At 36.9% G+C, this 24,231-nt stretch overlaps 1 protein-coding gene across 2 annotated transcripts in view, besides 1 other annotated feature; it reads left to right on the forward strand.

Moving 5' to 3' along the window:
• THSD7B (thrombospondin type 1 domain containing 7B) overlaps window positions 1–24,231 on the forward strand; it is a 912,174-nt gene that overhangs the window by 621,271 nt on the left and 266,672 nt on the right. For both annotated transcript variants that reach the window (NM_001316349.2, XM_047445935.1), the window contains exon 13: window positions 18,798–18,992. In NM_001316349.2, the coding sequence (NP_001303278.1) occupies window positions 18,798–18,992 (195 nt within the window). The remainder of the gene's footprint in view (window positions 1–18,797; window positions 18,993–24,231) is intronic.
• Window positions 11,558–12,089: an enhancer, noted in NCBI's record as "NANOG-H3K27ac-H3K4me1 hESC enhancer chr2:138155943-138156474 (GRCh37/hg19 assembly coordinates)". NCBI's record gives its function as "activates a minimal SCP1, AML or CMV promoter by ChIP-STARR-seq in naive and primed H9 embryonic stem cells {active_cell/tissue: H9 hESC(naive and primed)}" and the evidence as "EXISTENCE:reporter gene assay evidence [ECO:0000049][PMID:30033119]".

Raw genomic sequence — 24,231 nt, forward strand, 5'->3', positions numbered from 1 at the left:
TCTGCTGATTTGAGACATCATTTAAGCTTAAGAGGGCTGCCTGACTATCCTACCGTTAACAGCAATTCTTTTTAAAAAATTAACTATGAGACACACTGAGAATTCATACAGATCCTCGCTTTGTTTCTTTGCTAAGTTTTTAGATAATTTTACATTTGTGCCAGGGCATTCTTTTTCATGCTGCTAGAATTGAAAAGAATCAGATAACAGGGGGAAGCAATCAATGACTATTATCTCCACTCTGACCTCCCATTTTGGGTGCGTTTCTCCCAAGGCTCACCCTGTGTAGCAATTAAGAAAAAGATGAAGTAGCTGAACTCAGTTCTCTGTGTTATGTAGCTTGTTAGATACTTTGCATAGGAACATGTGGCCTCAGTCATCAAGGAGATTTTTGGAGGGTTCCAGGTCACCCTGACACACCCACTTGCCAGGTGACTGCTCTTATTTGAGTGCTCTTGTCTGAGTGGCTTACCTCAAACACCTGTTTCTCCGTCATTCCCTAACAAGGATACTCAGCTGTCCCAGGCAGTTTCTCAGAGGGCTTTCTGCCCAGAGCTTAAGATAGCTAAATTTCAAACAATACCCAATAATGAGATCCTTATAGAGCTATTTGGAATAATTTTACCTAGGAGTACAATTTTCCTCTAGTAAAGACAACAATATTCCAAGTTAAATAAATGAAATATAATTAAGCATTAAATTGTCCCTCCCCTTAAACAATTCATTACAGGTAAAAATATACAACAAGAAGGGTCAGAAGTATATAAATGTCTTCCCCATCCTAATGGAAAGACCTTTCCCAATAGTATAGTATAGTACTTAGAATAACAGAAAGAACCAAAAAAGAAATATTTTTTCTAAGATTGTGTCCTGAGAGTGATTTGTTATGATCTGAAGGACCCAGGATTTAAGAGTTCAACTAAATAGCAGATGTCTGACAGATAAATTTTCTGTAATACCATATTTTATTCTACCTAACCATTACACGTCCCTTTCATTCAAGATGGAAGTGTCTACTCTTCCCTTCTATGCCAGGTTTCCCATTGGTTATCACCATTATGAAAACTATAATATTGTGCTACTGTTATCTCTCTACCTGCCTGTCACCGACACCACTGTGGCCTCCCAGAAGCCAGATTACTGATATGTATATGTGTGTATATACGCACACACACACAATACATTTGTAATTGTTCACAGCAGACTGCTAACCTCAACATTATCATGTAAGAGAGACTCTAGTAATACTTTTAGGGCTCAAGAGGCTTTGGTGGAATTTGGAAATTCTTCCCAAGGCAAGAACTAAGACAGATGATAGTAGATGCTTTTTTCCTACCATTTCTTACATTTCATTTTCAATAGGCTTTTTCATAATAGTACATACTTCCCAGGGCTCATGTACTAAGTGCTTAGTTTTGTGCAAAGCAATTTATCTGTATCAGTTTATCCTGCAAGGTAGGTATTATTACTCCCATTTCATAGATGAGTTCATTGAGTCTTAATTTATATAACTTAACAAAAGTAACAGTAAAAAAAAAAAGGAGAGTGACCCTTAATTCTTTTTGAGTTTTTTTATTGATATATAATTTCTGTACATTTTTTGTGGGGTACCTATGATACTTTGTTTTATACAGAGAGAATGTGTAATGATTGAGTCAGGGTATATATCACTTCAAGTATTTATCATTTCTATGTGTCAGAAACATTTCAAGTCATGTCTTCCAGCTATTTTGCAATATAGAAAACATTGTCATTACGTATAGTTGCCCTAGTCTCTTATCAAACATTAGAACTCCCTCCTACCTAATTATATGTTTGTACCCATTAACCAACCTCTCTTCATCCTCCTCACCCCCACACATATCCTTCTCATCCTCTGGTAACTCTCATTCTACTGCATACCTCCATAAGATCAGCTTATTTAGCACCTACATGAGTAAGAAAATGCATTATTTGTCTTTCTGCACCTGGCTTGTTTCACTTAACATAATGACCTTCAGTTCCAACCATGTTGCTGCAAATGAGAAGATTTAATTATATTTTTATGAGTGATCAGTATTCTATTGTGTATATATACCACATTTTCTTTATCCATTATTCATTGATGTACTTATGTTGATTCCATATCGTTGCAATTATGAATATTGCTGCAATAAACATGGGGGCTGCAGTAAACATGGAGGTGATATACTGATTTTCTATCCTTTGGATAAATACCCAATAATGGAATTTCTGGGTCATATAGTAATTCTATTTTTAGCTTTTTGAGAAATCTCCATACTGTTTTCCTTACTGGCTGTATTAATTTACATTACCACTAACAGTGTATAAGAGCTCCCTCTTCTCTGCACCATCACCAGTCTCACCATATATCTGTCATATATATATATATATATATATATGACAAAATAATATATATATATAGAGAGAGTTTTTTTTCTAACTAGCATAAGATGATATCTCATTGTGGTTTTGAGTTTCCCTAATGATAAGTGATATTAACTATTTTTCAATATACCTCTTGGCTAATTGTTTGTCTTTATTTGAGAAGTGTCCATTCAGATAGTTTGACCACTTCTTAATGTGATTTTTTTTTTTTTTTTTTTTTTTTTTTGCTGTGCAGTTGTTTGAGTTCCTTCTATATTCTGGATATTAGTCTCTTGTCAGATGGATAGTTTGCAAATATTTGCTTCCATTTAACAGGCTGTCTCTTCACTCTTGATTGTTTTCTTTGCTGTGCAGAAACTTTTTATTTTACTATAGTCCCATTTGTTTATTTTCATTTTTCTTGTTCATGTTTTTGAGGTCTTACCTATAAAATCTTTGCCTAGACCAATGTCCAGAAAAGTTTTCCCTAGGTTTTCATCTAGTATTTTTATACTTTTGCATCTTATGCTTAGGTTTTAAACAATTTTGAGTTGCTTTTTGTACGTGGTGAGAAACACAATGTCTATTTTTATTCATCTGTATGTGGATATTCAGTTGTCCAGCACAATTTATTAAAAAGGGTTTCTTTTCAGCAATGTATGTTATTAGTACCTTTGTAAAAAATCTATTGGCTGTAAGTACATGAACTTATTTCTAGATTCTCTATTCTGTTTCATTAGTGTGTGTTTCTGTTTTTATACCAATGAGATGATGTTTGGGGTTTTGAAGTCAGGTAGTGCGATGCCTCCAGCTTTGTTCTTTTTGCTCAGGATTGGTTCAGCTAAACTGGCTCTTTTGAGCTCCACACAAATTTTAGGATTACCCTTTCTATTTCTGTGAAAAAAACGACATTGGTATTTTGATAGGGATTGCACTGAATCAGCAGATTGCTTTGGGTAGTGTGGTCGTTCTTACAATATTAATTCTTTTGGTCATGAGCGTGGGATGTCCTTCCATTTGTGTTCTCTTCAGTTTCTTTCATCATTGTTTTATAGTTTTTCTTATAGAGTTAGTTCACCTCCTTGGTTAAATTTATTTTTAGATTTTTTTTGTAGGAATTATAAATAGGATTGCCTTCTTGATTATGTTTCAGCTAGTTCATTATTGGTATATAGAAATGCTACTGATTTCTGTATATGGATTTTATATTCTACAACTCATTAGATTTATATATCAGATCTAAGTTTTTTAAATGGAATCTTTATGTTTTTTGAAATATAAAATCATGTCATCTGCAAAGAGAAACAATTTGACATCTTTTTCAATTTGGATGCCTTTCATTTTTTTCTCCTGCCTGATTTCTCTGGCTAGGAATTCCAGTACTACATCGAATAAAAGTAGTAAAAGTGGATATCCTTGTCTTGTTCTAGTTCTTAGAGGAAATGTTTTTAACTTTTCTCCATTTAGTATGATGTTAGCTCTCAGTTTGTCATACATGGTCTTTATTATTTTGAGGTATGTTCCATCTGTGCCTAATGTGTTGAGAGTTTTTATTATGAAGGGATGCTGGATTTATCAAATGTTATTTCTGTCTATTGAGATGATCAAGTAGCTGTTGTCTTAAATTCTCTTTACGTGCTGTATTACATTTGTTGATTTGCATATGTTGAACCATTTTTGCATCCCTAGCAAGAAACCCACTTGATCATGGTGTATTTTTTGATGTGATGTTGGATTTCATTTGCTTGCATTTTGATGAGGATTTTTGCATCTATGTTCACCAGGGATATTTGTAGTGTGGTATGGGGTGTGTGTGTGTGTGTGTTGTTGTTGTTGTATTCAGGAGGATTAATATCAGTTCTTCATATGTTTGGTGAAACTCATCTGTGAATCCATCTGATCCTCAGCTTTTTGTTGTTGTTGAGAGACTTTATATTACTGCTTCAAACTCACTATTTCTTATTGGTCGGTTCAGGATTTCTGTTTGTTCTTGGTTTCATTTTGGGAGGTTGTATGTTTCAGGAATTAATCCATTTTCTCTCAGTTTTCTCATTTGTGAGCATATAGTTTTTTCTTAATAGTCTCTGTTGATCTTTTGTATTTCTGTGGTATCAGTTGTTATGTCCCTTTTTTCATTTCTGATTATGTTTATTTGGATCTTCTTTCTTCTTGGTTTGTTCAGCTAGTGGTTTATCAATTTTTTTTAAAATCTTTTTAAAGAACAGGCCAGGTGCAGTGGCTCATGCCTGTAATCCCAGCATTTTGGGAGGCCAAGGCGGGCAGATCACAAGGATCAGGGATTCGAGACCAGCCTGGCCAACATAGTGAAGCCCTCTCTCTACTAGAAATACAAAAATTAGCCGGGCATGGTAGCATGTGCCTGTATTCCCATCTATTGGGAGGCTGAGGCAGGAGAACCACTTGAACCCAGGAGGCGGAGGTTGTGGTGAGTTGAGATCATGCCACTGTACTCCAGACTGGACAACAGAGTGACATTCGGTCTCAAAAAAAAAAAAAAACCAACTTCTTTTTTTGTTACTCTTTTGCATGCTACTTTTATTTAGTTCTGATCTGATCTTTTTATTTCTTTTCTTCTGTTAACATTAGGTTTGGTTTATTCTTGCTTTTCTAGTTCCTTGAGATGGAATATTAGCTTTAAAATTTGTGATCTTTATACTTTCTTGATGTGGGCATTTAATGCTACAGACTTCTTTCTTAGCACTACTTTTGCTGTACCCAACAAGTTTTGGTATGTTGTGCTTCCATTTTTATTTGTTTCAAAAATGGTTTAAGTTTCTATCTTAATTTCTTCCTTGACTCAGGATCGTTTAGAAATATGTTGTTTAATTGCCATGTATTTGTATAGTTTCCAAAGTTCCTCTTGTTACCACCCCTTTCTAGTTTTATTCTGCTATGGCTTGAGAAGATACTTGATATGATTTCGATTTCTAAAAATTTGTTGAGGCTTGTTTTCAGCCTACAATGTGGTCTGTCCTAGAGAATGTTCCATGTGCTGGTAAGAATGCATATTCTGCATTTGGTGCATTTAGGTAGAATGTTCTGTAAATATCTGTTAGGTTCATTTAGTCTAAAGTCCAATTCACATCCATTGTTTTTTGTTGCTTTTCTGTCTTAATGATCTGTCTAATGCTGTGAGTAGGATGTTTAAATCCCCTACTATTATTGTATTGCTGTCTCTTTCTTTCTGGAGTTCTAGTAATATTTATTTTATGAATCTGGGTGTTCCGGTGTTGGGTACATATATATCTAGAATGGTTATATCCTCTTACTGAACTGATCCTTTTATCATTGTATAGTGATCATTTTTGTCTTTTCATAAACTGTTTTTTATTTAAAGTCTATTTTATCTGATATAGCTACTCTGCTCCCTTCTGGTTTCTGTTTGCATGGAATATCTTTTTCCATCTCTTTTCTTTCTGTCCATATGTGTCTTTAGAGAGAAAGTTAGTTTTTTATAAGCAATATATGGTTGGATCATCTTTTCTTTTTCTCATTCTGCTTATCTATATATTTTAGGAGGAGCATAAATTTAATCCATCTATGTCTTTTAAAAGGAATGTAAATTTAATCTATTTACATTCAAGTTAATACTTACATGTGAGGTTTTGCTCCTGTCATATTTGTCTTTAGGTGAAATTGTCTTTAGGTGAAATTCTGTTGTGTTGCCATTAGATTCCTTTCTCTTCCTTCTTTGTGTGATTATTTTATAAGACCTCTGAGTTTTATACTTTTTATGTTTTTACGGTGGTAAATATCAACCTTTCATTTCCATGTTTAGGAATCCTAAAGATTCCTAAAAATCCTAAAGATTTTTTGTAGAACCGGTCTGACAGTAACGAGTTTCCTCAATATTTGCTTATTTGGGAAAGACTTTATTTTTCTCTATTTATGAAGCTTGATCTTACTAGGTAAAAATTCTTGGCTGCAGGTTTTTTCTTCCAGCTTTTTTTTTTTTAATTTTTTTTTTTTATTATACTTTAAGTTTTAGGGTACATGTGCACATTGTGCAGGTTAGTTACATATGTATACATGTGCCATGCTGGTGCACTGCACCCACTAACTCGTCATCTAGCATTAGGTATATCTCCCAATGCTATCCCTCCCCCTTCCCACCACCCCACCACAGCCCCCATAGTGTGATATTCCCCTTCCTATGTCCATGTGATCTCATTGTTCAATTCCCACCTATGAGTGAGAATGTGCGGTGTTTGGTTTTTTGTTCTTACGATAGTTTACTGAGAATGATGATTTCCAATTTCATCCATGTCCCTACAAAGCACATGAACTCATCATTTTTTATGGCTGCATAGTATTCCATGGTGTATATGTGCCACATTTTCTTAATCCAGTCTATCATTGTTGGACATTTGGGTTGGTTCCAAGTCTTTGCTATTGTGAATAATGCCTCAATAAACATATGTGTGCATGTGTCTTTATAGCAGCATGATTTATACTCCTTTGGGTATATACCCAGTAATGGGATGGCTGGGTCAAATGGTATTTCTAGCTCTAGATCCCTGAGGAATCACCACACTGACGTCCACAATGGTTGAACTAGTTTACAGTACCACCAACAGTGTAAAAGTGTTCCCATTTCTCCACATCCTCTCCAGCACCTGTTGTTTCCTGACTTTTTAATGTTTGCCATTCTAACTGGTGTGAGATGGTATCTCATTGTGGTTTTGATTTGCATTTCTCTGATGGCCAGTGATGATGAGCATTTTTTCATATGTTTTTTGGCTGCATAAATGTCTTCTTTTGAGAAGTGTCTGTTCATGTCCTTCACCCACTTTTTGATGGGGTTGTTTGTTTTTTTCTTGTAAATTTGTTTGAGTTCATTGTAGATTCTGGATATTAGCCCTTTGTCAGATGAGTAGGTTGTGAAAATTTTCTCCCATTTTGTAGGTTGCCTGTTCACTCTGATGGTAGTTTCTTTTGCTGTGCAGAAGCTCTTTAGTTTAATTAGATCCCATTTGTCAATTTTGGCTTTTGTTGCCATTGCTTTTGGTGTTTTGGTCATGAAGTCCGTGCCCATGCCTATGTCCTGAATGGTATTGCCTAGGTTTTCTTCTAGGGTTTTTATGGTTTTAGGTCTAAGGTTTAAGGCTTTAATCCATCTTGAATTGATTTTTGTATAAGGTGTAAGGAAGGGATCCAGTTTCATCTTTCTACATATGGCTAGCCAGTTATCCCAGCACTGTTTATTAAATAGGGAATCCTTTCCCCATTGCTTGTTTTTCTCAGGTTTGTCAAAGATCTGATAGTTGTAGATATGCGGCGTTATTTCTGAGGGCTGTGTTCTGTTCCATTGATCTATATCTCTGTTTTGGTACCAGTACCATGCTGTTTTGGTTACTGTAGCCTTGTAGTATAGTTTGAAGTCAGGTAGTGTGATGCCTCCAGCTTTGTTCTTTTGGCTTAGGATTGCCTTGGCGATGCGGGCTCTTTTTTGGTTCCATATGAACTTTAAAATAGTTTTTTCCAATTCTGTGAAGAAAGTCATTGGTAGCTTGATGGGGATGGCATTGAATCTGTAAATTACCTTGGGCAGTATGGCCATTTTCACGATATTGATTCTTCCTACCCATGAGCATGGAATGTTCTTCCATTTGTTTGTATCCTCTTTTATTTCGTTGAGCAGTGGTTTGTAGTTCTCCTTGAAGAGGTCCTTCACATCCCTTGTAAGTTGGATTCCTAGGTATTTTATTCTCTTTGAAGCAATTGTGAATGGCAGTTCACTCATGATTTGGCTCTCTGTTTGTCTGTTATTGGTGTATAAGAATGCTTGTGATTTTTGTACATTGATTTTGTATCCTGAGACTTTGCTGAAGTTGCTTATCAGCTTAAGGAGATTTTGGGCTGAGACAATGGGGTTTTCTAGATATAAAATCATGTCATCTGCAAACAGGGACAATTTGATTTCCTCTTCTCCTAATTGAATACCCTTTATTTCCTTCTCCTGCCTAATTGCCCTGGCTAGAACTTCCAACACTATGTTGAATAGGAGTGGTGAGAGAGGGCATCCCTGTCTTTTGCCAGTTTTCAAAGGGAATGCTTCCAGTTTTTGCCCATTCAGTATGATATTGGCTGTGGGTTTGTCATAGATAGCTCTTATTATTTTGAAATATGTCCCATCATTACCTAATTTATTGAGAGTTTTTAGCATGAAGGGTTGTTGAATTTTGTCAAAGGCTTTTTCTGCATCTATTGAGATAATCATGTGGTTTTTGTCTTTGGCTCTGTTTATATGCTGGATTACATTTATTGATTTGCATATATTGAACCAGCCTTGCATCCCAGGGATGAAGCCCACTTGATCATGGTGGATAAGCTTTTTGATGTGCTGCTGGATTTGTTTTGCCAGTATTTTATTGAGGATTTTTGCATCAATGTTCTTCAAGGATATTGGTCTAAAATTCTCTTTTTTTGTTGTGTCTCTGTCCAGCTTTGGTATCAGAATGATGCTGGCCTCATACAATGAGTTAGGGAGGATTCCCTCTTTTTCTATTGATTGGAATAGTTTCAGAAGGAATGGTACCAGTTCCTCCTTGTACCTCTGATAGAATTCAGCTGTGAATCCATCTGGTCCTGGACTCTTTTTGGTTGGTAAACTATTGATTATTGCCACAATTTCAGCTCCTGTTATTGGTCTATTCAGAGATTCAACTTCTTCCTTTTTTAGTCTTGGGAGAGTGTATGTGTCGAAGAATTTATCCATTTCTTCTAGATTTTCTAGTTTATTTGCATAGAGGTGTTTGTAGTGTTCTCTGATGGTAGTTTGTATTTCTGTGGGACCGGTGGTGATAGCCCCTTTATCATTTTTTATTGTGTCTATTTGATTCTTCTCTCTCTTTTTCTTTATTAGTCTTGCTAGCGGTCTATCAATTTTGTTGATCCTTTCAAAAAACCAGCTCCTGGATTCATTAATTTTTTGAAGGGTTTTTTGTGTCTCTATTTCCTTCAGTTCTGCTCTGATTTTAGTTATTTCTTGCCTTCTGCTAGCTTTTGAATGTGTTTGCTCTTGCTTTTCTAGTTCTTTTAATTGTGATGTTAGGGTGTCAGTTTTGGATCTTTCCTGCTTTCTCTTGTGGGCATTTAGTGCTACAAATTTCCCTCTACACACTGCTTTGAATGTGTCCCAGAGATTCTGGTATGTTGTGTCTTTGTTCTCATTGGTTTCAAAGAACATCTTTATTTCTGCCTTCATTTCGTTATGTATCCAGTAGTCATTCAGGAACAGGTTGTTCAGTTTCCATGTAGTTGAGCGGTTTTGAGTGAGATTCTTAATCCTGAGTTCTAGTTTGATTGCACTGTGGTCTGAGAGATAGTTTGTTATAATCTCTGTTCTTTTACATTTGCTGAGGAGAGCTTTACTTCCAAGTATGTGGTCAATTTTGGAATAGGTGTGGTGTGGTGCTGAAAAAAATGTATATTCTGTTGATTTGTGGTGGAGAGTTCTGTAGATGTCTATTAGGTCCGCTTGGTGCAGAGCTGAGTTCAATTCCTGGGTATCCTTGTTGACTTTCTGTCTCGTTGATCTGTCTAATGTTGACAGTGGGGTGTTAAAGTCTCCCATTATTAATGTGTGGGAGTCTAAGTCTCTTTGTAGGTCAGTTAGGACTTGCTTTATGAATCTGGGTGCTCCTGTATTGGATGCATATATATTTAGGATAGTTAGCTCTTCTTGTTGAATTGATCCCTTTACCATTATGTAATGGCCTTCTTTGTCTCTTTTGATCTTTGTTGGTTTTAAGTCTGTTTTATCAGAGACGAGGATTGCAACCCCTGCCTTTTTTTGTTTTCCATTTTCTTGGTAGTTCTTCCTCCATCCTTTTATTTTGAGCCTATGTGTGTCTCTGCACGTGAGATGGGTTTCCTGAATAGAGCACACTGATGGGTCTTGACTCTTTATCCAGTTTGCCAGTCTGTATCTTTTAATTGGAGCATTTAGTCCATTTACATTTAAAGTTAATATTGTTATGTGTGAATTTGATCCTGTCATTATGATGTTAGCTGGTGATTTTGCTTGTTAGTTGATGCAGTTTCTTCCTAGTCTCGATGTTCTTTACATTTGGGCATGATTTTGCAGCGGCTGGTACCGGTTGTTCCTTTCCATGTTTAGCGCTTCCTTCAGGAGCTCTTTTAGGGCAGGCCTGGTGGTGACAAAATCTCTCAGCATTTGCTTGTCTGTAAAGGATTTTATTTCTCCTTCACTTAGGAAGCTTAGTTTGGCTGGATATGAAATTCTGGGTTGAAAATTCTTTTCTTTAAGAATGTTGAATATTGGCCCCCACTCTCTTCTGGCTTGTAGGGTTTCTGCCAAGAGATCCGCTGTTAGTCTGATGGGCTTCCCTTTGAGGGTAACCCGACCTTTCTCTCTGGCTGCTCTTAACATTTTTTCCTTCATTTCAACTTTGGTGAATCTGACAATTATGTGTCTTGGAGTTGCTCTTCTCGAGGAGTATCTTTGTGGCGTTCTCTGTATTTCCTGAATCTGAACGTTGGCCTGCCTTGCTAGATTGGGGATATTATCTCCTGGATAATATCCTGCAGAGTGTTTTCCAACTTGGTTCCATTCTCCCCATCACTTTCAGGTACACCAATCAGACGTAGATTTGGTCTTTTCACATAGTCCCATATTTCTTGGAGGCTTTGCTCATTTCTTTTTATTCTTTTTTCTCTAAACTTCCCTTCTCGCTTCATTTCATTCATTTCATCTTCCGTTGCTGATACCCTTTCTTCCAGTTGATCGCATCGGCTCCTGAGGCTTCTGCATTCTTCACGTAGTTCTCGAGCCTTGGTTTTCAGCTCCATCAGCTCCTTTAAGCACTTCTCTGTATTGGTTATTCTAGTTATACATTCTTCTAAATTTTTTTCAAAGTTTTCAACTTCTTTGCCTTTGGTTTGAATGTCCTCCCGTAGCTCAGAGTAATTTGATCGTCTGAAGCCTTCTCTCAGCTCGTCAAAGTCATTCTCCATCCAGCTTTGTTCCGTTGCTGGTGAGGAACTGCGTTCCTTTGGAGGAGGAGAGGTGCTCTGCGTTTTAGAGTTTCCAGTTTTTCTGTTCTGTTTTTTCCCCATCTTTGTGGTTTTATCTACTTTTGGTCTTTGATGATGGTGATGTACAGATGGGTTTTTGGTGTGGATGTCCTTTCTGTTTGTTAGTTTTCCTTCTAACAGACAGGACCCTCAGCTGCAGGTCTGTTGGAATACCCTGCTGTGTGAGGTGTCAGTGTGCCCCTGCTGGGGGGTGCCTCCCAGTTAGGCTGCTCGAGGGTCAGGGGTCAGGGACCCACTTGAGGAGGCAGTCTACCCGTTCTCAGATCTCCAGCTGCGTGCTGGGAGAACCACTGCTCTCTTCAAAGCTGTCAGACAGGGACATTTAAGTCTGCAGAGGTTACTGCTGTCTTTTTGTTTGTCTGTGCCCTGCCCCCAGAGGTGGAGCCTACAGAGGCAGGCAGGCCTCCTTGAGCTGTGGTGGGCTCCACCCAGTTTGAGCTTCAGGGCTGCTTTGTTTACCTAATCAAGCCTGGGCAATGGTGGGCGCCCCTCCCCCAGCCTCGCTGCTGCCTTGCAGTTTGATCTCAGACTGCTGTGCTAGCAATCAGCGAGATTCCGTGGGCGTAGGACCCTCCAAGCCAGGTGCGGGATATAATCTCTTGGTGCACCGTTTTTTAAGCCTGTCAGAAAAGCGCAATATTCGGGTGGGAGTGACCCGATTTTCCAGGTGCTGTCCGTTACCCCTTTCTTTGACTCGGAAAGGGAACTCCCTGACCCCTTGTGCTTCCCAAGTGAGGCAATGCCTCGCCCTGCTTCGGCTCGCGCACGGTGCGCGCACCCACTGACCTGCGCCCACTGTCTGGCACTCCCTAGTGAGATGAACCCGGTACCTCAGATGGAAATGCAGAAATCACCTGTCTTCTGCGTCACTCTCGCTGGGAGCTGTAGACTGGAGCTGTTCCTATTCGGCCATCTTGGCTCCTCCCCACCCCTTTTTTTTTTTTTTTAAACACAAGTCTTGCTCTGTTTCCCAGGTTGTAGTGCAGTGGTGTGACCTTGGCTCACTGCAGCATCCACCTCCTGGATTCAAGCGATTTTCCTCCCTCAGCCCCTTGAATAGCTGGGATTACAGGTATGCGCAGCCACGCCTGGCTAATTTTTTTATTTTTAGTAGAGATGGGGTTTCACCATGTTGGCCAAGCTGGTCTCGAACTCCTGACCTTGAATGATCTCCCAGCCTTGGCCTCCGAAAGTGCTGGGATTACAGGCATGAGGCATAACACTCAGCCTCTTTCAGCAGTTTTTAAACACCTTCCCATTCTCTTCTGGCCTGTGAGTATTCTGCTGAGAAATCTGCTGTTAGTCTGATGGAGTTTCCTTTAAAGATGACTAGGTACTTTTATCTTGCTGCTTTAAAAATTCTTTTCTTCTTTTTGACTTTAGACAGTCTGATGATGATATTATCAGGGTGATTTTTTTCTTTTTTTGCAGTGTATTTGAGGATTGCTGGGCCTTCTGTATCTGGATATCTAAATCACTATCTAGAATAAGGATGTTTTCATCAGTTATTTCCTTAAATAAGGTTTCTAAACTTCTTTATTTTTCTTCTCCCTCAGAAATACTGATAATTCTTAAGTTCATTCAGTTTACATAGTTCCAAACATCTTAAATGCTTTGTTCATTATTTATATTCTTTTCTCTTTATTTTTGTCTGACTAGATTATTTCAAATGATGTGTGTTCAGGTCCTGAGATCTTTTACTGGGTCTAATCTACTATTAACATTTTTAATGTATTTTGAAATTTCTTCAGTGAACTTTTCAGATCTATTATTTCTGTTTTTTTAAATAAATATATCTTATCACCTTGGTAATTTTTTCATTCATATCCTAAATTGATTTTCTAATTTTTTTGTCTTAGTTTTTGTCATTCATATCCTAAATTGCTTTTCTGATTTCTTTTGCATCTCTTGCATTGGGCTTCTCTAAAACATGTACTTTTGATTATCTGGCATTTTGAGAATTTCTTTTTAGCTAGCATCTATTGCTGGTGGAGGATTACTATGTTTCTTTGAGGGTGTTGTAATACCTTGTTTTTTTTTTCTTTCCATGATTTTTGTGTGTTTGCATTGATTTCTGCGCATCTAGAGCAACAGTAGCTTCTTATTTGTGAATTTACTTTTATTGGGAGGAGCACTTTTTCCTGAAGATATGGCTATGATGGTTGGGTAGGGTCATTTGGCTTTGCTTCTGGGTACATGTAGTGGCAAAGACTCTATGATTTCCCTGGCTATAAATAGCTTTAGTGTGGTAGCTTCCTTGAATGCAGTTGTAGTAGTGGTACACTGGGTGGATGAGCAGGCTGATGACCTCTTGGGCAGCTGGGGTGGCATACGCAATGAGGGATGGCAGTGGTCATGAGAAGCTTTTCTTCTTCCTTATCACTGTGATTTTTGTGTTAGGAATTGTTGTAAAGGGCTGTGTGGGCTGGCCTCCAGACCAGTAGGTGGCTTTTGCAGGTTAGAGCCAGCTGCAGTGATAGTGGTAGGATTTATGCCCAACCTCTCTTTCCTGGGAGAAGTGCTCGGATGTCTCACATGGTGGATTGGGCCATGGAACCCCAGGGGTGTGGATCCTGTGCTGTGTCCTGGAGCAGGGGAAGAAGGTAGGTGGAGCTAGATAGTGCAAGCCTGTATTCAGGCCCACTAGTGGCAGGGGCATTTGCCAGCCCTGATGGAAGTGGTGGGGCAGTCCTCAGACCCCCGGTTGAATGGCTTAGGTGAAACCGCTGACATGCCAAAGAGTTAGCACAGTGAGGAAGAAGTAGTCCCAGTGCTTCAGCCTTGGCCAGCAGGAGTGGGATCTTAAAGCCTATAGTTTTATCTGTAGATTTCTACTTCTGATTTAATCCTCAGAAATGTTCTCTGATTTAAGGACACTATATATCTTTAATATTGGCCCCAGAATTATATTGTATGTAATGTATAATTAATATGTTTTTAAACTCTCTTTCCCCAGGAGTTGTGCAATGGAAGGGGCCTCTGAATTGGGTTGTACCTGTGGTTACTTATTATCCCCATTTATGCTTAATTGTCTTCTTTTCTAATTTCCTTTGTGTGTTTGTTTTGTGTGCTTTGCTGATTTTCCAGTCCTGCAGCCTGCCTACTTGCTATTTCTTTAGTATTTTCATACCCTCTAGTATAATTCAATACACAGTAATTAAATTAATGTTTATGAATAAAATGATTGCTTTTATACTAGAACGTTCCCAACAAGGAAATGTTTCATTTAACTTTTTAGTGTTTTCATTTCCAGTGATCTTTTCACACTTGAAAATAAATTAGAATTCTGAACCAGAAGACACCTGAAAACTAATTCCTGGTCTGAACTGATGATTGCATGATCTGTAGCTGCTGAGTTTTTTCTTTCTTTCTTTTTTTTTTTTTTTTTCTTCAACTCTGCAGTTTTTCAATGGCCTTCATCCTTGGGTTACCATTAAGAGAGCTGTGGTCTTCAGGCTAATGTGGGTGCTGTCAAACATCATGTCCTAACTTTGCGTGCATTTGTTGGCATTTAGAAAACCCAAATGCCTCCATTAAACTACTTTACAATACCAATTTATAAAGAAAAACAAACTGATTTGCTCTGCACAGCCCTGTTAATTCAGTGAATGTGTCTTCACCATATCTGAGCTATTGGTTCATTACTGATGCTTACAAATCTAGCACCAAATCCGGCGAAGATGCAAAAATATTTTCTCCTTACCTTTATTCTTCACATACTAAGGATGACCAAGAAACAAATGAGGCATGGTGAGGAGAATGTGTGTACATATACTTGCTTGGAGAATGATCAGCCTACTTTATTTAAAAACAAATATAAAGGATAGTAATAATTAATAGCATTTATCAAGCTCTTTAGTGTGAGACATTGTCTTAAGAATTCTCACTAGACTTTTTTATAGTCTTGTGATACTCATTTTAAAGATGAAAATACTAGGGCATGAAGAATTAAATAACTTATCTTAGTTCAGATAGCTCCTTGTTTAGACTTGAAATTTTCAATTACTACCGTTTGACTACAATATGTGTGAATTCCACCCTACTCTATAGCTATTCTTTCTTAATTTCTTATGCTTTCCTTTATTAATTTGAAAAATTCGATATAGATCTCTGGAAATGCAGTGTATTCTAATTTAGATAGTTTCTAGAACTTGAAAACATCATTCAATTTGGTTTATCATAGCTTTTAAATTATAAACATATTCAAAAGAAATGTGAATAAAATATTCTAAAATAATTTATTATAATTGAAAAAATGTTATTTATATACATCAAGCACAGAGTGGCTCACACCTGTAATCCCAGCACTTTGGGAGGTCGAGGTGGGCAGATCACTTGAGGTCAAGTGTTTGAGACCAGCCTGGCCAACATGATGAAACCCCATCTCTACTAAAAATACCAAAAAATTAGCCAGGCATGGTAGACAGTTGTATTCCCAGCTACTCTGGAGGCTGAGGCATGAGAATTGCATGAACCCAGCAGGCGGAGGTTGCAGTGAGCTGAGATCACATCACTGCACTCTAGCCTGTGCAGTGAAGCGAAACTCCATCTCAAAAAAAAAAAAAAAAAAAGGTTTGAATTTCACATAGCAATGCTTTTGAAAGTATTTAAAATGTGTCTTCATGTTATTCAGTGCATTGTCATTTTGGAAAAAAAAATTAACTTGGCAAGATAAAAGTTCTCTAAATTAACTCTAAATTGGTTATCTAAACAAGCAATTCAAAGAACATTTGCTTGTACCCTACTTGAGATAAAATGTCTTGCTGTATTCATCATTAATGGCTGTAATATTCCCAACAAAGAAAATGCAGGTGATGTTGGCTTGATGTGTGATGGATTTTGTCCCTGCGACGTGGATAAAAACGAAAACAAAAAATATTCAGAATGAATGAATAGCTCCACCTGCCACAGAGCAGATGTACAAACTGGAAAGTATTGTGTGTGCATCCATTGTCATCTTAGCTAATTCCTTGGTTCTAAAGCATTAGATGGGTTTGGCTTTCACCAGTTCTAAAAAAAAATAAAAATAAAAAAAGATAGATTTATGGTGTTCAGACAGACATATTATCTGATGTGCTCAGAATAAAGAACTGAATTCAGAATATAAGAAGAATGGGCATCTGAAAGGAGCCCATATGTACACTTACCCTACATAAGAGAATTTTATATAAAAAGTTTTTAACAACATGATCCTAAACTGTGGTCTTTTTGTTCCTTTCACATAGCAGATTTTAAAGAACTGTAAAAAAGTGATCCTAAACTATGATTTCTTTAGAATGATGAATTCAGCAAATATCCATTAACATACAGCGTGTCTAAGGCATCATGCCAAATATGGGTAGTCGGTAGACAGGGTAGACCAGAATTATGTGAGCCATTTAAACACAAAGATATTCCCTGGTTTCTCACCCAGAGATGTTGATATGGAAGATCTGAAGTGGTACCATGGAATCTGTGTATTCTCATATACATCCATGGTTAGGAATTAGAAGAGGTGTTTTCAACTGTGGCAATTTTGCCCCCAAGGGAACATTTGGCAATGCCTGGAGAGAGTTTTGATTGTTACCACTTAAGAGGGGTGGATGCTACTGGCATCTAATGGGTAGAGGCCAGAGATGCTGCTACATATCTCACCATGCACAACACTTATTTACACACCCACAAAAAAAACTGTCCAATCTAAATTTTCTGTAGTGCCAAGGTTGAGAAATGTTGATCTAGAGAATATAAATGTATATTCTTTGAGAGTCTATAATTAACCAGAGTGAAAAAGATGAACCAAAATATTGTGTATTCATTCATAAATAAAATAAAACAAAATAAATAGCATTAGTCCAGAGAATTCAGTAAAAATTTAAGCAAAATTTTAGGAATGTGTTACCTCACGATTATTATTTTAAGGAACGACTAGAGAGTTCCTAGTTGAAAAAGTGTGTGAGAGAAACTTTGAAAAGCTATAAAGAACTAAAAAAGCTGTAAAGAACTAAAAGTAGAATTACCATTTGATCCATCAGTCCCACTACTCGGTATCTACCCAGAGGAAAAGAAGTCATTATTCAGAAAAGATACTTGCACATGCATGTTTATAGCAGCACAAGTCACAATAGGAAAATCGTGGAACCCACCCAAATGCCCATCAATCAATGAGTGGATAAAGAAACTCTGAGATATATATATATATATATATATATATATATATATATATATATATACACACACACACACACACACACACACACACACATATATGTATATACACACACAATATATATATACACACATACTATATATTTATATACACACACTATATATATACACAGATACTATATATACACACACATACTATATATGATCATATATATGATCGTATATAGTGTATATATAATATATATGATGGAATATTACTCAACCATAAAAAGGAATGAATTAACAGCATTTGCAGTGACCTGGATGAGATTAGAGGCCATTATTCTGAGTGAAGTAACTCAGGAATGGAAAACCAAACATCATATGCTCTCACTGATATGTGGGAACTAAGCTATGAGGATGCAAAGGCATAAGAATGATACAATGAACTTTGGGGACTTGGTGGGAACAGTGGGAGGGGGGTGAGGGATAAAAGACAACAAATATGGTGCAGTGTACACTGCTCAGGTGATGGGTGTACCAGGTTATCACACATCTCCGCTAAAGAATTTGTGTAACCAAATACCACCTGTACCCCAATAACTTATGGAAAAATAAAATTCAAAACATAAAATATATTTGCAATGGAAATGATCTGAATAGACTATGCTTGTGCTTGAAAAAAAATAAAAATTTTAACTGGTCCCTAAAAATTAATAAGGAGAAAAATGTTTATTTACAGACAGCAGAAATTCCTTTAAAAATACTGACTGTATAGGTCTACTTCTGTAAGTGCCATCTAAACAAGCAAAAAAAAAAAAAAAATGACATCTAGGAGGAGCCTAAGTGATTTTTTAAAAGTAGTTTCGTCCTTTTTGTGTTATCATCTTACTCTTATAGTTTCCCTTTCTTAGTTTTATATCATCTCTAGAGATTAGATGCTGAGGAGCAGGAAGTACAATAAATTACTGGAAGTTATTTTGGTTGCTGTCGACGCAGGGTTTGGATTAATAATGAAACCAATTAAATCCTCAAATACCTCCAATGACAACAATAAAAATTTAATTTCCAGAGAGAAATAAGGTTAGCTATGTTGAACACCGTTTGCACCATTTGTGAAGCCCAAGTTTTTAAACATTGGGGGATTCTGCTGTCTTGTCAAAGAACCAGCAGCTGACTGATTTAATCAAAATAATAACAAAAGAATTCATGCTTTTTTTCAGCTGTCTCATGCATCTCTGATGACAACCGGTCAGCAGAAATGATGGAATGCCTCAAGCAGACAAACGGCATGCCTCTCCTTGTGCAAGAATGCACAGTCCCATGTCGAGAAGACTGCACCTTCACTGCTTGGTCCAAGTTTACGCCCTGCTCCACGAACTGTGAAGCCACAAAAAGTAGGCGGCGACAGCTCACAGGTATAGTGTGCATTTTACTCTTTAGCATCAGGCAAGCTGAACATCTCTGGATCTTTTGTGTAGAATATGAGGTCCAAAGGACAGGAATTTGCATCAGGTCTCTTCCTCTCTCTCCATTCGTTAATACATATCCTCAAACTCAGAACAATGCCTGGTACGTAACAAGTACTCAATTAATGTTTCCGAAATGAATGAAAGATGTGAACTGTTTTATAGCTATCAAGTTCCTCTCTATATAGTTTTATAATCTTTGTAGTCATAAAAGGCATTTCATTCACCAACTTCTTTTGAGTAGGTAATGGCAAAGTTTGTCATGTGCTATCATGCCAGGATCTCAGTGAGCTTGAAGGCAATCACTGGTTTGGGAAGATTATCAAAAACAGATCTAACTGACATCATTGTCTTTTGCCATTATCTTATAAGCAATTTGACATTTTAAAATTTTACTAGTGTAAGGCAAAAATCAAATTACATATACTCATTCTGCTTTTGTGGTATATTATTAATTATGAGTTCTGTTTTCAGCTGCAAAAATTTAATGGGAATTAAAGCAACTAATTGTTTAATTGAATTCCTGGGGCAATTTTTGCCTGCAGTATGCAAATAATTGATGCAATAGTGTATTTTACTACGTGCCTAGATAAAAATGCCACAACTTCTCTTAACTTCTTATGTGTTTGTATAAGCAGAAAATGGAGAACCAAAGGAAAATGCCAGAGTAATCACTGAGATAATGAAATTGGTGTTGACATTGAAGAATTAAGCACAGATGACCATTTGTTCTCATGAGCAGTTGAAGGGCTAATTCTGTTGGTTTCAAGACCCTTTTGTCTGAATGCATTGCTTACCTGATCACATTTTGAATTTAAATCACCATTATGGATTTAAGTAATCTGCTAGAGGCTTTAACAGGATTTCTGCAAACAAACTGGGAGTCCATTTGTAAGTGTAGGTGAAATGCATAACCATAAACAGAACACCAAACAAGAAATGCTGTACTTCATGCCCTATCTTCCACAAAAATTTGTGCCACATGATTTTATGCAACATTGCTTGTTTCTAAGATACAACAAATTTCTCATAGAAAAACAACACAGTGAGATAGAATGTATGTGACAGGAATAGTTGAAGTTCAGGGGCCAATGAATGAAACTTTGTTTGCCTGTACAAACATAACGCATCGGAAGCCATTACTCTGGCAACTCTTTATATACTTGAGATGAGAGAGAATTCCCTGTAGAGGAAAGGGAAGTTTTTAATTAGTGGCCAGTTTTTTTCTTTTTTCTTGAAAGTTTATTCATGATAGTTTACACCTACATAATGAAAATGGAAAATATTGAAAATCCTAGGATATTTATTCATTTTACAACCAGTACCATTTTTGTTATGAATTGTTGAAACTCTAATGAATTTGACTTTTATTGAAAATGTTCCTTTTATATAAATATTGAAGAATAGCTGTACATTTTTTTCTGCAAACTCTAAAAATTACTCATACTAAAAGACTGTTTGAAATTTCTTTTCTAAATTATTAACTGCTGTACTTTCAGGTGGCTAATTGACCTTTGTGTATCTTTATGTCTACGTGGCACCAAAACAAGTTAGCAATTTCATGAAATACATGAGTTTTTTTAAAAAAAATAAAACAGTAAAATGAATCATTTAATATCACTGTTGGAAAAAAATCCCACTAATGAATTGAAATATTTTCACTTTTCAAGACTTATTTTTATTGTCATGAAACTAATGCTTGTATTTTGTTATCTCTAAGTAATTTGGTAGTAAATGCAATAAACAATCTCTAACATGAATGCTGCTGAAAGTCTTGTACTCAAACTCCAAAGCCATGTGATTCTTTCTCTCTTTAATGCAAACACACACACTGAAACATATAAACATAAATACAAGCCACTTCATTGAATATGGGGCCATACAGGATATTTAACTTTCTTTTGTCCATTTGTAACAGGCTTTAATTCACTGAGCGTTCTGTATGTTGTACCCAAACTATGTCATCACAGGTTTTAGACTCAATAGTATTTAAAACAATTGTTAATAGAATGCCAAAAAATATTCCATTTATTAGATAGAAAACCTGTCCAGGTTTTATATATATTATATGAGATATAATATATAAATATTTATTTATAATAACTAGATAACTACTACATATTCTGACTTAAGGAAGAAAAAGTCTTTAGAATTGTACTAGGGATTGATTTTTAATATTAACTTGTTCTGAATCCAAAGGTTAATGCTGATTTTGATTAGTATATAATCAAAGTAAAGGATCACTGATAATTTGTTTCTTATTGTGACAACCATTTCTGCATTAACTTGCTTAAATCCTTCATCAAACAGTGATGCTATATAATTAAGAAGGATATCATAAACATAGAGGCAGCATATATTTGTACAGAATATTTGTTTGCTAATAACTTCTGGTCACCTTGTAGATGAACATTATTTTTCTTTTTTCTCCTCCTCCCTCTCTTTCTCTTTTTTCTCCTTCCCCCTTCTCCTTTATCTTGATCTTTTTCTTTTTTTCACAACTTCCTTTTCTCAATTATTCAATGAATATTTTTTTGTTTACCACTTATATGTGCTAGTCCTTGGTGATGGCCTCAAGGGAATCAGTAGACACGATCCTAACTTAACAGAGCTTGCGATCTAATTGGAGATACGGTGAGATTTTTACTGGAGATAATTACAGTACAGCTTCTGCTATAGTTGCTGTTGTATTGGGAGCGGTATTCAAACAAATCCTATTGTTGTAACAAATTACCACAACATTGCTGGCTTAAAGCAGCACAGATTTATTATTTTACAGATCTGTAGTGTTTCACAGATCTAAATAAAGATGAGATGTTGGTAAGGCTGCATTTCTTTCTGGAGGCTTCAGGGGACAATTGTTTCCTTTCATTTTCAAGCTTGTAGATGCTGTGCAAGTCCCTGGCTCATGTTCCCCTCCCTCCGTCTTCAAAGCCAGCAACATTGCATTTCTCTAACCACTCTTCCATGTTCAAGGATGGTTTTCTGGAGGGAGTAACCCATGAGTTTTGATCTGAAGGAGAAGTAGGCGTTAGCTAGCCTAAGGAAGGTGGGTAGAAATTGTGGAAATTTCTGGAGTAAACATACAAAGGCCAGAAGCAAAATGAGTAATTTCTAGGATCTGAAAGAGGCTCACTATGACTGTATCGTAACATGCTAGCGGCAGAGTGGTACAATGTAGGCTAGAGGCAGATACAAATGGGCACAAATCATATAGGTCCTTGATGACCCTAGGAGAGGAGTCTGGATTTCATTCTGTACTATGGTAAGCCACTTCAGAGTTTTCAGTAGACCAGTGATTTGATCAGATTTGTACTTTGAAAGCTGGCTCTGACTGCAATGTGGTGGACAGATTGAAGGTAGTGAGGTATGATGGCATCAAGATCTTGGAGAAATCTGCTGTAATTTCAGCTGGAGATTTGCAGGTGGGGCTAAATATGGGTGACACCCATTGGAATGGAAACAAATGGACTGATGCAATGAATCTTTATGCATTTGAAGTGATATACCTTTGTCATTAATCAGATATAGGGGGTTCAACAGAATAATTCAGGGCATTCCAACTTTTAACTTGGTGATATTGGTAGAATTGAGAAACGCAGGAGAAAGAAACATTGTGATGTAAAGAGAATGGGTGTGATTGGTTCTTTAGATGTAGATTTTTCAGTCTATGGATTGGAAGCTTGAGCAAGAAATCTTGGATGAAGACAGTCATTTAAAATTGAAGAAATATGTATGATAATTAACACTCTTCAAATGGGTGAAGTTGTAGGATCAGAAGAGAGATGAACCTAAGATGTTGCCTTGGGGAACCCCATCAGTTTAAGGGAGGTAGAGAAGAAGAATAGTTCACCAAGTAAAAATAAATAATATATGGCAAGAGAGAGGTGGGGGCATGGGGTGAGGGTGAGGAACAAAAAGATATGTTACGATGGAACTTGGAAAGAATATTTCGAGAATGAAAGTGTAGTCAATACTCTGAACTATCATTGAGTGATTAGACCTTAAAGATAAGGAATAAAAGATATTCCAGGGCTTTGGCTTTGTTTCTTGTTTTTGTTGTTGTTTGTTTGTTGCTTGATAACAGTGGTTTCCAGAAATAAGTAGACAGAATCCAGGGTTAAGTGGGTTTAGAAGAGAAATGAAACTGAAGAGATGAAGACTGAGAGATTCAACAATATTTTATGGAAGTTTGAAAAAAGGGAGGTCTTGAACCTGCTAAATGCTAATAGGAAGGAGCCCCTCACTAATTATTGATATATCTCTCAGCCAGTAAATTTTCATGGCTGTGGTGGAAGCTGTGCTTTTCAAACTTATTCTAGTGTCCTAATGGTAGAGGCAAGTGAATATCTTCTATCAGAAGTGTAGCTGAATCTACTACCAGCTCAACTTCAGGTCCTGCAGAAATTCTTTTTTTTTTTCTTTTTTGAGACAGCATCTTGCTCTGTCGCCCAGACTAGAGTGCAGTGATGCGATCTTAGCTCACTGCAACCTCCACCTCCTCAGTTCAAGTGATTCTCCTACCTCTGCCTCCTGAGTAGCTGGGATTACAGGCACGTGCCACCACACCTGACTAATTTTTGTATTTTTAGCAGAGATGGGGTTTCACTATGTTGGCCAGTCTGGTCTCGAACTCCTGATCTCAAGTAATCCTCCCCCAGTGGCCTCCCAAAGTGCTGGGATTACAGATGTGAGCCACCATGCCCAGCTTAGAAATTCTTATTTATTGCAAACATAAGCATCATGGCAGACCATAGAGCCAATCATCCCATCAGCAACTCTAGAATTGTATGTAATGCAAACCATGTGGCAATGAGAAAGTAGCCCATGCATCAGCTTGTATCAGGCATTTCAGAAAAGCCATAAACACAAAAAATAGACCAATAAAACTGCCTATATATTTTATAACCAGCCATGACTCTAGCTAATGACTCATTAATGAGAAAACAAAAGGTGGAATTATTAGATCTAGGAAAATTTTTAGTAATCCAGAGGAATTGTGTTAACAGCAAAGTTGAATCAAGTTACAGGCTGATTTAGAATCCACTAAACATGATTACCAAGTGTTTACAGCTGTGAAAAATGACACTGCATTGTCTTACTCAGAGATAGGACCAAAACTAACAGGTCCATCAAAGTGAATTGGTAAGGTAAAGTCATATTTCAGAATACTTAAGTTAGAAGAATC

Source organism: Homo sapiens, chromosome 2 (genome assembly GCF_000001405.40).
Source record: "Homo sapiens chromosome 2, GRCh38.p14 Primary Assembly".
Taxonomy (NCBI): domain Eukaryota; kingdom Metazoa; phylum Chordata; class Mammalia; order Primates; family Hominidae; genus Homo; species Homo sapiens.